The 13543-nt window shown below is 36.4% G+C and overlaps 1 protein-coding gene across 5 annotated transcripts in view; it reads left to right on the plus strand.

Moving 5' to 3' along the window:
- Nucleotides 1–719: 719 nt before the first annotated feature.
- The window catches only part of DPP10 (dipeptidyl peptidase like 10), a 1403140-nt gene continuing 1390316 nt past the window's right edge, over nt 720–13543 (plus strand). For all 5 annotated transcript variants that reach the window (NM_001321910.3, NM_001399849.1, NM_020868.6 and 2 more), the window contains exon 1: nt 720–917. Coding sequence is in view for 2 of the 5 variants with exons in the window: in NM_020868.6 (NP_065919.3) it covers nt 858–917 (60 nt within the window). In the remaining 3 variants the exon portion in view is untranslated. The remainder of the gene's footprint in view (nt 918–13543) is intronic.

The raw sequence follows: 13543 nt of genomic DNA on the forward strand, positions 1-13543 counted from the left end.
CAAAAATAAAGGTTGAAAATAAAAACATTGTCTAGCTTTGGTGCGATATCCAAAAACTACAATAACTATTGTATTTGAAAACTTTTTAAATATACCTTAAGCTTTCTGCCACCTTACAGAAAGGACAGTCTCTTGGCTGGCTGTTATGGCTAAATTTTAAAAATATCCATAGGGAATATCAGTCCTTCAACCTATAGATATAAAACCCCCAAATTCTGAAACTGCCAACAGTCTTTTTTTTTTTTTTTCCACAGCATTTACTTGTGTTTTGATTGCAAGAAGTACCCAGGAAGGAATAAAATTTAGTAACAGAATGAGGATGTTATGATTTTTTTTTAAACTGGGTTAGGGGTGGGGAGAGGGAGAGAGAGAGAGAGAAATATTTTGCACTGGAAAAACTATAATCTGGAGAGACAGAGGAGTTGAGAGTGCCCCTTTAAACTGCAGGACTGCAATTGATCTCTGTATGTTTTCTGGTTTTCGTCCCTTTGAAAGGGGAATGAGAGCCAGGATCATTGGCTGTACTGTGGAGCTGTCACATCTCCATACTGAAAAGGTACACTGCAAGTGAATTTAAACCGTTTTTGGCTTTCTATTGCATATTGCCAAGAGCTTTGAGACTGATGAACCAAGTAAATGCTCTATTTAGGGCTAAGTGAGATACAGATTCCTCCAATCTGATAGCGTTTCAGCCTCCGGAGTGAGGAAGCAGCAGAAACAGAAGCAGCAGAAGCAACAGCAGTAGCAGCGGCAGCAGCAACAGCAGCAGCCCCTACTGAAGTCCAATAGAGGAGACTTGATCTCTAGTTCATTCTGGAACTCCGCCTGGGATTGTGCACTGTCCAGGGTCCTGAAACATGAACCAAACTGCCAGCGTGTCCCATCACATCAAGTGTCAACCCTCAAAAACAATCAAGGTAGGATCTGGTTTTTCCCTCTGCTTCTGCACATGTGTCTTCATTCATCTACCTAACACATGGGCATTGATATATCGGGGTACTGACAGTGGACATACCTACTTGATTTGAGTTTGAATTGAAGGTTGAGTCACAATAAAGCATTTGGCTCTGCATGTGTGTGTAGACTGGAAAGAATAGTTTCCACTGAACACTTCTTTCATCTTCATGACTTTTTTTTTTTTTACTGAGAATCTATCAGAGGTATATTTCCAGAAGAAAGTTTTGTGAGTGTCTAGAAGAGTTTCCAGTCCATGCCAATTTTCTTGATAGAACTGGGGAAGAATTTGCAAACTGCTAGAAATAAATAGCATCAAATTGACTACAAATCTGATAACAGGATTTCATTGTCATATGAATTTTGGATCTCTTATCCTTTTTTAAAAAAAGCTCATCCTTCATTGTGAGCATTGAACTGGTGGTTATACTAAAGTGATTATAGTGAGAGAGGATGAAAGACTAGAGAGAGAGTATAAAATCACATGTCTTTATTTATATCACCATGTAACTCAAAACCAGTGAGATGATTGGAGACACTCTTCAATGCAGGTGTTGTTTAAAATTTGAGGCTTTTCTGACAGCACATGGTTAAAGGTAAAGAACAAACTCACAATTTCACTCTTCTGTTTTAGTTTCAAGTCATGCTTATACCATTCTCTTTGTTTTTATTCGGGATGCTCTTATTTCCAAGAAGGCTTATAAACGACCAGACTTCCAATCAAAGTTTACTATATTTTGCCATTTACTTGAATTGTATTATTATCTATGTGGATATTTTGCATCTTGAGGGAAAGTGATGGATTCGTCTGAAACTCTTTTATGAAAAAAAAAAAAAAACTAAAACAAAAAACGTGATATCCTGACAGGGCATCTTTAGTTACTGCAATCTCTCATTAACATACAAGTGCATACCTTTTGCTACTATTCCTGATAAGCCTGACTTTTTATGATTTATATTATGTTTTGGTTTATGTCTCAGGCCTTTAATAATATTGCATAGACTGTAATTACAAAAGGAATATAATTTTCAACAATGTCTCTTCTTCATGAATTTACCTACCGTTTGCCAGAGTGTTTCAGTGATAGATAAACCATAAACTAAACATGTTCCTCTATTTATTAGCAGTGACTTTTAAAAGCAATGGGGTTTCCAGGGTATATTAAATGATGCATAATTAGATTCCCATCATACATAAACATAGGGAGTTAACTGAAATCATGCAGAACTCATATTCAGATAATTTACACCACCTCTAATAACAGATATGAGAATCTTTTTCAGCATTAGATTTTCTGTGCTGTATCTAAGTTTAGAAATAAAAAATGTTGAGCTTTTGGTATAGTTTTCCTCTGTGTATCAGTTTCCCACATACATCAATTATCTAAGCATATCACTGAACAAAGCCAAAATAGTAAATACATGACACTCTACATTGGGATATATAAGCTCTAGTGGGAAATATGTATTGAAGCCTAAAGTGGGATAGAGTTACAAACTGGCTGCCTACTGCTAAGTATGTCTAGAATGCTATAACAAAACCAGTGGCTTTCTGTTTAAGAGTCTGAGGTCACAGGAATCAAGCATTTATTTTCCCTTTTCTTTATTGAGTAAGCATAAATGACTACTACTTTCAGAGACTTCAAATCACTTCCTTTATTAGTGCTCTGGCATTGGCTGCCCACAAACAAACTGTGGAACAGAAAAAAAAATGTTTCTAGTGTAGAGGTTTTACATCATCTTGCTGATCTTGCAGATGCTGTTTTTTCCTTCTAACTGCAGCCATTGAGTTGAAATGAAAAGTATCATAAAAATTGGACAACCCACCACTTAACAATGTATTATATTAATGGCTTAATGAAGGAATCTTGAATCAAAGCTCTGGGTAATTTGGTTAATTGTACAAGTTAAATTCTTTTGTGCACCCCATTCCCAATATTGCTCTGGGGAGCAAAAAAATGCTTGTGATGTTCATAAAATATATATAGTCGCAAGCACTGAACTATTAAGGGAGTAATTACTTGAGTATTTTGCAATTTGCAATAGTGAAAAGGGATGAGTGGAAAATCTCTCTTAGTTCAAATTATGTGCTCAATTATGAAACATTTATGGCTTTTTGAATTTATACTAAAAATGGCTATCTATATTTAGGTAATGCATTAGCCTATGAACAAAATGCAATAACAATCTAAAGAAAAACTCTAAGATGAGAGGGTTTTGGGAAGCTGTGGGACATTGGAGCTCAAAATACTCTTTGAACTATTAGAATTTTAGTTTCAAGCATGGTTGTTTAAAGTTAATTTTATTCCTCACTCTTAAATTTACTATCAATTTACTATCAGATAATTTTAAGTAACCCTCCCTCATGGAATCTGGTTGGCCTGCAGGTAATGATAACCCACTTTGAGGATCTGGAAATAAATAACTTGCATATTGCTCCATTTTAGAAATTCAAAAACCTCTAGAGACTTTTCTCCCAAAGCTCAGTGTAATAACCTCTAGAGAACTTTTCCCCCATCAGTATAGTAAATGCTGACTGTTTCTTCTCTCAACAGTTAAACTACGGCTAAAAAGAATGCAATGGGAATGAACAAAAGTGAAATGCATTGCTAAAATAGCTGTAAAGGCCAAAAGTGTGCAGGAGGAGGAAAAACAGCTCTGTGTGTGTGTGTGTGTGTGTGTGTGTGTGTGTGTGTGTGTGTGTGTTCTCCTCCACTTGAAGTTCAAGAAGTGATGAAGTCTATAGTGGGTAAAATTCAGCAATTGTTGCCAGTGAAGGCTGTTTGTGGCCATGATGTGTCAGAGTTGGAAAAGAGGAAATTGGGAGAAGTTATAATGGAACAAGATGATCAAGAGTATTCAGGTTGCTTGACACTTGCTTTGGTCGTTCTGGCCATTCTTTAGCTCAGACAGTTACTGACACACTTTTCCTGGCATACTTTGGCAGGTATGTTCCTATCGTCAAAACCAGTAAGGGAGAGAAAAGGGAGTCAAATAGGGGTGCCAAGTGTGTTCTCAGATCACTTTGGGTGAAATGCTGAATGCAATTCACTCTGAAAACTTTCCTCCATTTCAGAGCTTGTAAGGGAAGAAAGCTTTTCCTGATGTGATTACAAATCTTCCTGTGAAGGTAGCAACATTCTTTTAAAAAAAATCTTTTACTCTGAGATGTTTAATGGAAAGTTTTAGGAAGTATCTGGGAATGCTAAATAGAGATCAGATCTTTGCGTTATTATAAACGTGATTTCTGAAGAATGTCCCCCACCATGGGTAGCAAACTTGAGTTTTTCCTTCACCATTATGGCTTCTCTTGGCTGCACTGAAAGTAAATTAAACCTTTCAGCTAAATCTCTGATCTTGGTTTACTTCTTTTGCTAGTGGAATTGCAAACTTAGAATTTTGCCTCTAAAATGTGCAGATTTTTTTCTTATTTCTTTCACATTTGAATATCAGTCTAGTATCCTCGTGTGTCTAAAATGAGTAGAGAAAATCCTTCATCCTTTTTGAAGTTATAAATTGTGAGTAACTTATCTGGGGTGGTGATTCCTGGATCAAGAATTATATGTATTATACTTTATATGGTAACTCTGAAATACAGTACACAATATTTCTTTACCCTTCCCATGTAGTGACCGGTCTTCCTCTTTCTCTTTCCTTTTTACAAGACCTGCCTGATTTATTTTAATACTGCCTTCACACCCAGGTTTTCACTTCCATTTAGAAAAGAGTCTCAAGGTCTAAAAGTTCTAGTTACTTCCTACATAGCCCTGCTGCAAGTTTTTACAAACTATACTTAAACGAATCTTTAAGATTTTCATTGTCTTCGGAGTACATCTTGAGCTGGCAAACTTTTTCATGGTGATTTTTACTGCCTTTTATATTGTAATATTGATGAGTCATTGTGCTAATAAAGACTTTTCCCCCTTGCTACTTCTAATCCATAGCCTCAGCCAAATGAGGCATAGGAAACAGAAGACAAGGGGTTAAAAGAGGATGAAAATCTTATCACAAGTATGTATTGTTAAATACGTAGGCTTGGAACATGGTGGTTAGGAAATAATTTCGTTAGCAAATTGGTATTTTGGAGTGTGACATTGCCATGAATTGGCATGATGAGATGGCTTGGAACTACAGCATTGCAATCTCACTGGTTGTTAAATTTTTTTTTTTTTTTTTTGAGACGGAGTCTCAGCTCACTGCAACCTCCGCCTCCCAGTTTCAAGTGATTCTCCTGCCTCAGCCTCCCGAGTAGCTGGGACTACAGGCACCTGCCACCACGCCTGGCTAATTTTTGTATTTTTAGTAGAGACGGGGTTTCACCACATTGGCCAGCATGGTCTCGATCTCTTGACCTCATTATCCACCCCTCTCAGCCTCCCAAAGTGCTGGGATTACAGGCATGAGCCACCGCGCCCGGCCCACTTGTTGTTAATTCTATACCCCTAACCTAAATGCTGGACACTGACAAACCTGCGTTTCACATAGTACTTGAACTTGAATTGTAAGTTATTCTTAAAGGGTATTTCATAATTAAATATATAAATTATATCCACAAAAATTTAGAAATGCAAGGAATGTTTAATAACAAAAAATCTACCTCTGTGTGTCATTGCAATATGCAAAATGGAAGATTCTCCAATGTCATTATTACAGTATATGAAATTCTAAGTGGAAAGATTGTTACATACTTCTACATTGTACCTTATCTTAGAGAGTCTTCCTATTCCTAATCCTAAGAACTTTACTCATAAGAATACATAAAAAGAAACTTTATAAAATTATCGACTCAACATAGATTCATACACACTAAAGAAAGAGTTACCACTGGTAACTCTACAGCAACTGATTTCACCAGTGAGTTCTACACTTCCATTTAGCAAGGTACAGATTTTTCTTCAGCATTAGGATGAGTCATTCTAAGCGGTGATAGCTAAGGAAATCAAAAGAAAAAACTTACAAAAATTAGAAATAAGGATATTTTATGTGTGTGAGAGAAAACTTTTTTCTCTTAGCAATGGTCTACATATTTTTAATTACTCTGACACAGCTTCCTTATATGCTTAAGGCAAAATCACAGCCTGTGATAAACAAGAATAGGACCATCTGCTAATGACAAATTTATCACCACTTACAATTTCCATTTATGGCCAAGTATTTAAATCTTAAATAATTATAGCACAATTTATTTCAAATTACTATAAATTCAGCTGTTTTTAAAATGAAGCATTATAGTTTTTTTTCTTTTTAATAAAGAGTGACTATAATAATTGGCCAGCTTTACATTTTATAGCTTAGATCTTCATAAAATCAAAAGTTTCTTTTTCCTTTGACATTTATAGTGTTTGAATGTCAACTTTTACTTTGAAGAAGTATTCTTGTATAATATAATTTCAAGGTAAATTTAAACAGTTTTATGAAGTATTTAGTATTTATTTTATTCTTGAGAAAGTAATGTGTTAATACTTTTCTAGAAATTCATGTTTTGGTCAGTTAGTGAAGACATTCTTGATGGTAAATTTGTGATGACAAATTACTAACTCTCACTGAAAAGACATTATGGGTCTACAAATGAAGCATGGACGTAGTAAGCTAAGATAGTGGTTATCAAAGTGCTGTCCCTAGACCAGCAGTATCAGCATCTCCTGTGAACTCATTAAAAATGCAAATTCTTGGACTCTACTTAGACCTACTAAGTCAGAAACTCTTGGGGTAGGGCCCAGCAATCTTTGGTGGGTGATTCTGATCCATATTGATGTTTTGGAACCACTGAGCTAAAGAATTACAAAATAAGACACATCTGTGCTATTGTCAGCCTGTAAGAATTGTCTGAGTACCACAGAAGAGGTCTAAACAGCTTCAGAATGATACTTAGGGTTATTAAGTAACATGAATTCTGTGACAGCCAAAATCTCATCATTAGGTTTATCTCTTTTATTCCTCACAGGGATTACTTGATACTATGCCTTTCACCCAGTAGACATTAAATATATATTTGTTGGTTATTAATGACTGTTAAGGTCATTTAGTAGAGATAATGCTCTAAGAGGACCTAAATGATATTGTAAGGTGTTACTCAACATGTAAGCAGGTTAGAGGCCTTGCTTTTTGTTTTAAATTCATAGAAAATTTCTCAAAGAAGTATACTGACATTTTGGCTTTTGATGGTTTTGTTCTCTGATCTTGGTTTGGGGCCATCTGGTAATCAACACATTTTGGTAACTAGGGGGATTTAGAATCATACTAATTTTTTGTCCAGAAATTGTGCTGGAGAAATGTCTCCCTTCTTGCCAGCTGTATCTGAAAATTGGCAAACAATGGTAGGGAGGAATATCATCACATTAGCCTTTCTCCTTGCCTTTATGAATGTTCTTTGGCCCGTAGATATGTGCCAGGTTGGTAGGGCATAACTGGAAGTAGCACACAACTGGAACAACATGAATAATTGTGAACAAAGCTGGCCTTCCACGGACAGACACAGCATAATATTACATTAGCAGAACAAGATTTAAGCTGGGGGATAAGCTGTGAAATAAGGAAATTACCTCCAAACAGGCTTATTTCTTGGAAATTCTTCATAGCACTCTGATGTTTTTCTTTTTTTTTTTTTTTATAGTTACCACTGGGAAGAAAAGTAAAATGCATACAGCCTGCCCTACTACCTGCAAACGGATATAAGGCAGATCGGATGGCTTTTTCTTTAGAGGGGCATCCTTAAGTGGAGTTCTCACTCTCCCTTTACCACATGAACCATGTGGTCTTGCGGAAGGCAATTAACCCTGTTAAGGATTTCTCCCCCACTAACAGAAGGGCAATAAACTTAAATTATCTGCCCAAACAAAAATGCTATGTAAGTGCTTTGTATTATGATTTGTTCTAGTAGCAATTTTTAAGGATACGACATTTTCATAAGGAGTTGTATAGTGAGAATCAATTTTTATGACATAAAAGCTGAGAATTTTATTTGCAATTATTATTAACTATAATGATGATAAAAATTCATTTTGAAGTCACCCGGGGGATGAAAATTATCTTCTAATATTGTAGTAACATCTGCAAGATTTCATCATGAACCTTTACCAGGGAGGTAGGGGAAGAAGATTGGATTCAAATGTCATTGAAAGAACTGATTAATTCAGTAAAAAAATGCAGTTAGTCATCCCAGTGCTGTGCTACCAAAATGGAAAATACCTGGGTAGCTGCATTGATGGTACATATGGTTGCATTGAGGAGGAATTGTATCATGGAATAAATATAGGCTTCATATGATCTCTGTGCTTCTAGACTTGATACTTCCTTTGCCTCACATACCTTCCCCATCCCCCAAACCCCAAAAATGGTTCTTTTAGCAAACTCCTATTCTTACTTTAAATCTTATGCAGAATTTTCTCAGTGAGAATTTTCTCACAATCTCCTAGTCAGACTGTTATGTTCTTACCTAATCGCCGATGTTCTCATATAGTCTTCTGTACCTCTTTAATAACAATTAATCTTTTGAGTTATAATTATTTGTTTCCATGTGAGTCTCTCTACGAGCTATTAAAGTGCTCTGATTTTTTTTTTTACTTTTGTTAATCTCAGTACCTATCCTAATATCTGCCACATAGCAGGAGCTCAATTAATATTGTTTAAATAAAAGAACAAAAAGAACAAAGAAAGCTATAAATTCATTTGCCTTCCCAAGAAATGTAGTTTGACTTTTGAGTTCAGAAATATATTGGTCTTTGTTGAGCTAAGCAGAACTAAACCTGTTACTTTGAAATATGCAAACAACATTTGAAGGAAATAACAAGGTTCCTCAGGGATTGTGAGAACAATGTGCTATTTCTCTTGAGGATAAGTGGCTTCTGTAAGTAAAAAAAAAAAAAAAGGTTTTGCATTATGAGCGTTTTTCTACATTAAGGAAGTCCTGTGACCAAACAGAGACAACCCCTGTTGTTCTTCTTTGGAGCTTGCATTAGTATAGCAGACACAGGTTACTGCTGATTTCAATAGGTAGGGCTTTTCAGGGGGACTGTTTGTTCTGGCACTCTAGTGAGGCTTTTTATAATCAGAAACCTTAATTTCCAAGATGAATCATTGCTGACGGACTGAAAAACACCACTTCTCCCAACTCTGGTTTCCAGAATTTTGCCCTAAGAAAAATGAGTTCCACTTCATTTTAATGGAAAGTAAATAGCATAAAATTACTTATTGTATTTAAAGATCGGCCCTTTATTTGATTTTTTTTTTTGATTCAGTGAAAGAATTAGGACAGAGAGACAATGCAAGGCAGGCATTTTTGATCAAGGATGGACAGCTATGGCAAATTTTTTCCTTTAGGTGTATCCTCTGAAGGAAATAAAATAGAATGAAAGAACAAACTCAGAACAGTTGTTGGATGACCAGTGAGCACAGCATGGTGTGAGGAATAGAGCACTGGACTCGTTCTCTCATTGTTACAGTCATTCAATATTTCATGAAAGAGAATTCAAATGTTTGGAGGGTGATAGCTTTTGTTTTTGAAGAGCATGGCTATGATATAAATTAATATGATTACAATGTAAAGTGATGAGTATTAAGAGGGATAAATACTTAGGTTTGTCGTTGGTGGGAAGGGAGGCATTCACAAAACCCAAGCCAGAACTCTACATAGGAGTTAGATTGATAAAGAAAGGGAAAGAAAATAGTTCAGAAACAGAGAAAATGTGCAAAGATGAAGAAAAAAGGCAATGCAACTGTCATGAAAGTATTTAATAGTTGAGACCAACTAGATTACAGAGGGCAAATGATTAGGAGGGGTGAGAAACAAGGCTGCAAATGCATACATGGAGCTGGACTTTGTGTTGTTTTTCAGGATTTGGCTGTACTCTGACGGCAAAGCTTAAATGCAATACAGCAGGGACAAGATCTTGGGATCTAAATTCAGGACACAGTTCTATGACCCTGGGAATCATTCCTGAGGTTTGTGTCTTCAAGTAAAATATAAAGATGGTAACACGTTCCTGGTCTGTCTTTCAGGATAATCCAAATATAAGATGTTAGTATTAGCCAGACAGGTTTTACAGAAGGTAAATCTTAACAAGAACAAAAGGTTTGTTCATTAGCTTCATTTAGAAAGGTACCAGCTACTTTCTTGAAGGTTATTAATAACTTATTAATATATGGTCTTTAAATACTAATTTAGTGGTAGCCTTATAATCTAAAAGTATCTTTTTTGACTAATGCCAATCATTTAGCTGTACCAAAATTTTCCTCTTTAATATTTGAAAATAATATACTGACCATCATTCTCTTGCATATTTATTGCTGATTCATTATTTCAACAATGCCTAGTAATACATGAATGGCTTCTGTTAATAGCATTGTGTATAATCTCGAAGAATACCTGGAAATTTCAGGTGTAGAGATGTGACAATTATTTTCTTCCTCATTCTCTGATTACATATCCTATATGTTGTCTTTAATAAAGATACCTTGTGTTTTTTGAAAGATCAGTTCCAAGTGGTCGGGGGTGATCTCTCTTGATGGCTCACACCATTTTCCAGAAGATACAGGAAAAATTAAAGTGCATTTGATGTGCTGTGTTTCTATAATCATAAAACTTTAAATATTTCTTAGAGATTTCCTAGTCTAGACTCTCATTTTGCAGACAAGAAAGCCAAGGATTAGAAAGGAAAAATAGGCAAACGTGAGCATTGTCCATTCGCTCCTTTAAACAGGAACCACACTTATGATCATGGTCTTTTGAGATCTGGGGTAAGTTAAAGAACATGTAAATTTTATTAATTGAGATGCTTTTCATTGAAAGCATCAGAAAATAACAGAAAAATTTAAATAAATTGGCTAAAAGATTAAGAAATTATAATTTCCCAAACTGAAAAAGTCCCTTAGTAGAACACCTCCAGGGTCAGTTAAATTGATGCCCAAATATCATGGCCTAGAACCCAGCCTCTTTGTGTCTTTCTGCTTTGTTTTTCTCAAACTAACTTCTGCCATGGTGATTACATGGTTTCTTCAGTTCCATAATTGGCCTGCAGACATGACAACTGACAATGTCCAGTAGACAGAGTGGTTTCTTTCTTTGAGTTTCTTTTTAAGAAAAAGTACCCCACAACTCTTGTTGGTTAGAACTAAATCTTGCACCAATTCCTTATCTAATTGCTTGATGATACACAGGGTTGAGTGGAGAAAATAGAAAAGTAGGTGACACAAGTAAATATTGGATCCTGTTGAAAACCATCAGGGAGATTGGATGGTTTGAAGGTAGAAAACCAAAAATACATACCACAGAGATCAGCAAAATAGATTTTAGAATCTGACAGACATATAAGTTGCACCACACTGTGAAAAATAGGCAATGCCATGATCCAAGCACATTTTCAACAAACGTGTATTAATTTAAAATATAACATTGTCCCCGATTGCTTCCTTTATAGCAGAGGCTTCTTTGATCACGTTTGAGCAAAAGGGCAGGTAGAAAGAAGTCTCGTCTCCTTTCATATTAAATGACTCAGTTTCCAATCAATTTTCATTGTGTTTTCTTTCCTTCATTTCTTTTTTCTTTGTTAACATGTCATTGGACTTTCTTCTATTTGGGGAGCATGAAACAAAATAATGGTGATATCCCTCATCAAATAATTAGGGTTCTCAGGGTCTATCACAATTATGTCTTCTCTGCTACATCTAGGGATTTGAAGTTCTTATACCTTCAGGAGCGTTGTTCTCAAACCTTCATTGTAACACCTGAATGCCCTCATGGTTAACAGGAGTAACATGAGGATTGTGGTTAGATATGCAACAGTTGACACTGTGATGACTGGGATGAGCAAGCACTCACCTAAAGACATACCAGAGCAAAACCCATTCCCCCTCCAAAGAAATACCTTGATCTTTGACTTTTGTTTGCTATATTCACAATCAAAAACTGTATACTAAATGGCTTCATTTTATAAAAGAGCCTTTTAAATTGTGTGTTCTGATATTTTGTCTATCCATATGTTAATTCAACAAATGTTAGTTGGATATACAATAGATATTAAGTTGCACACATGAGGAGACCAAATGGGATAGCACACAGAGCCTGTCTTTAAAAAGCTTACAGTCCGACATCTTTTCTCTTCTCTCCTTGCTTGGGATGAAGGAGAAAAGCAAGGAAAAGTAAGTCATTGATGACCATAGCGTATGAAAAGTGTCATGACAATGGCAAGAAAAATGTGCTCTGAGACAGCATAGAAGGGGCTCCTCACCCCAACTCGCAGATGAGTTTGGATCTTTGAACTGAAACTTGATGGGCAAGCAATAGCAGCTTGGTGAAGAATCGGGAGAGAAAAGAATACTCCAAATGGTGCTATATGTGAAAGTACTCAGATAAGGGAGGGTACCACCACTACCATCCTTGCTGTCATCATCATTATTATTTCATCACTACCATTGTTAAGTGCCCAAACCATGATGCTTTTCTAGGTACTTTTATGAGATATCTCTAGTTCCTACAGTGACTTAGTAGTAATTATTGTTCTTATTTTATAGATGAAAACATTAACTTGCCCAATGTCACCCAGACTGTAAGAGGTGGAGATCATACATGAGTTCAGATAAGCTTACTACAAAACTGAGCTGACTGCTCATGCTTTCTGCCTCCTATTTGAGTGTCTCCTAACTCTCAGGTTTCCGCCAGCTCTAAGGAACTAGTTTTTGTTACCCAAGGTCCCCTGCTATTTTAAGCCTCTCAATTGAAGTTTCCTGTTTTCTCTCATGAGAATGCTTCCTGTTCCTTATTATCTGGCTGGTAGTTACTGCTCCTCATTCGGGCTGAATTCACAGGGAATTTGTCTCATCTTGGAAGATTTCTCAACCCTTTTTTTTTCCAGCCTCAGGAAGACGACTTGCTTTGTCCTTCCCTCCCCCTGCAAACAACATCACATTTATGTCTATGTATCTTTGTTATCCTATCCCTTCACCCTCTTTCCTACCCTGTCTACCTTCCACTATATATTGAATCCACCGCTAGACTGCAAGCTCCTGGAAGCCAAGGCAGCCTCTCATTTGTCATTGTGACTTCAGTGTCTAGCATTATTCTTGACACGGAATGAAGGCTCAAAAAGAACTTGCTAAATAAATGAGTGAGTGAAGGCCATCCAATGTGGGGAATGCTATGTTACTGCTCCAGAATATTCTTTCATAGTATTAATGTTTCATTTTATTTGATATATAATCACATGGCTTTTATTCCAGAAGACGATATCACTATGAGAAAGGAAGCTAAATACTTTGTTGGTTTTTTCAAGGGATTTTCTTTCTATTGTGTGTGTGTGTGTGTGTGTGTGTGTGTGTTTGGGGGTGGTGGCATATGTATTTAAGACAATAAGTTAGAAGAGATAAGAGGTGGGTTTTAAAAACGTAAATACAGGCCAGGTCCAATGGCTCACGCCTGTAATCCCAGCACTTAGGGAGGCCAAGGTGGACGGGTTACCTGATGTCAGGAGTTCCAGACCCACCTGGCCAACATAGTGAAACCCTGTCTCTACTAAAAATACAAAAATTAGCCAGGCGTGGTGTCTCACGCCTGTAGTCCCAGCTACATGGGAGGCTGAGGCAGGAGAATCGCCTG

This window comes from Homo sapiens, chromosome 2 (assembly GCF_000001405.40).
Source record: "Homo sapiens chromosome 2, GRCh38.p14 Primary Assembly".
In the NCBI taxonomy this organism is placed as follows: Eukaryota; Metazoa; Chordata; class Mammalia; order Primates; family Hominidae; genus Homo; species Homo sapiens.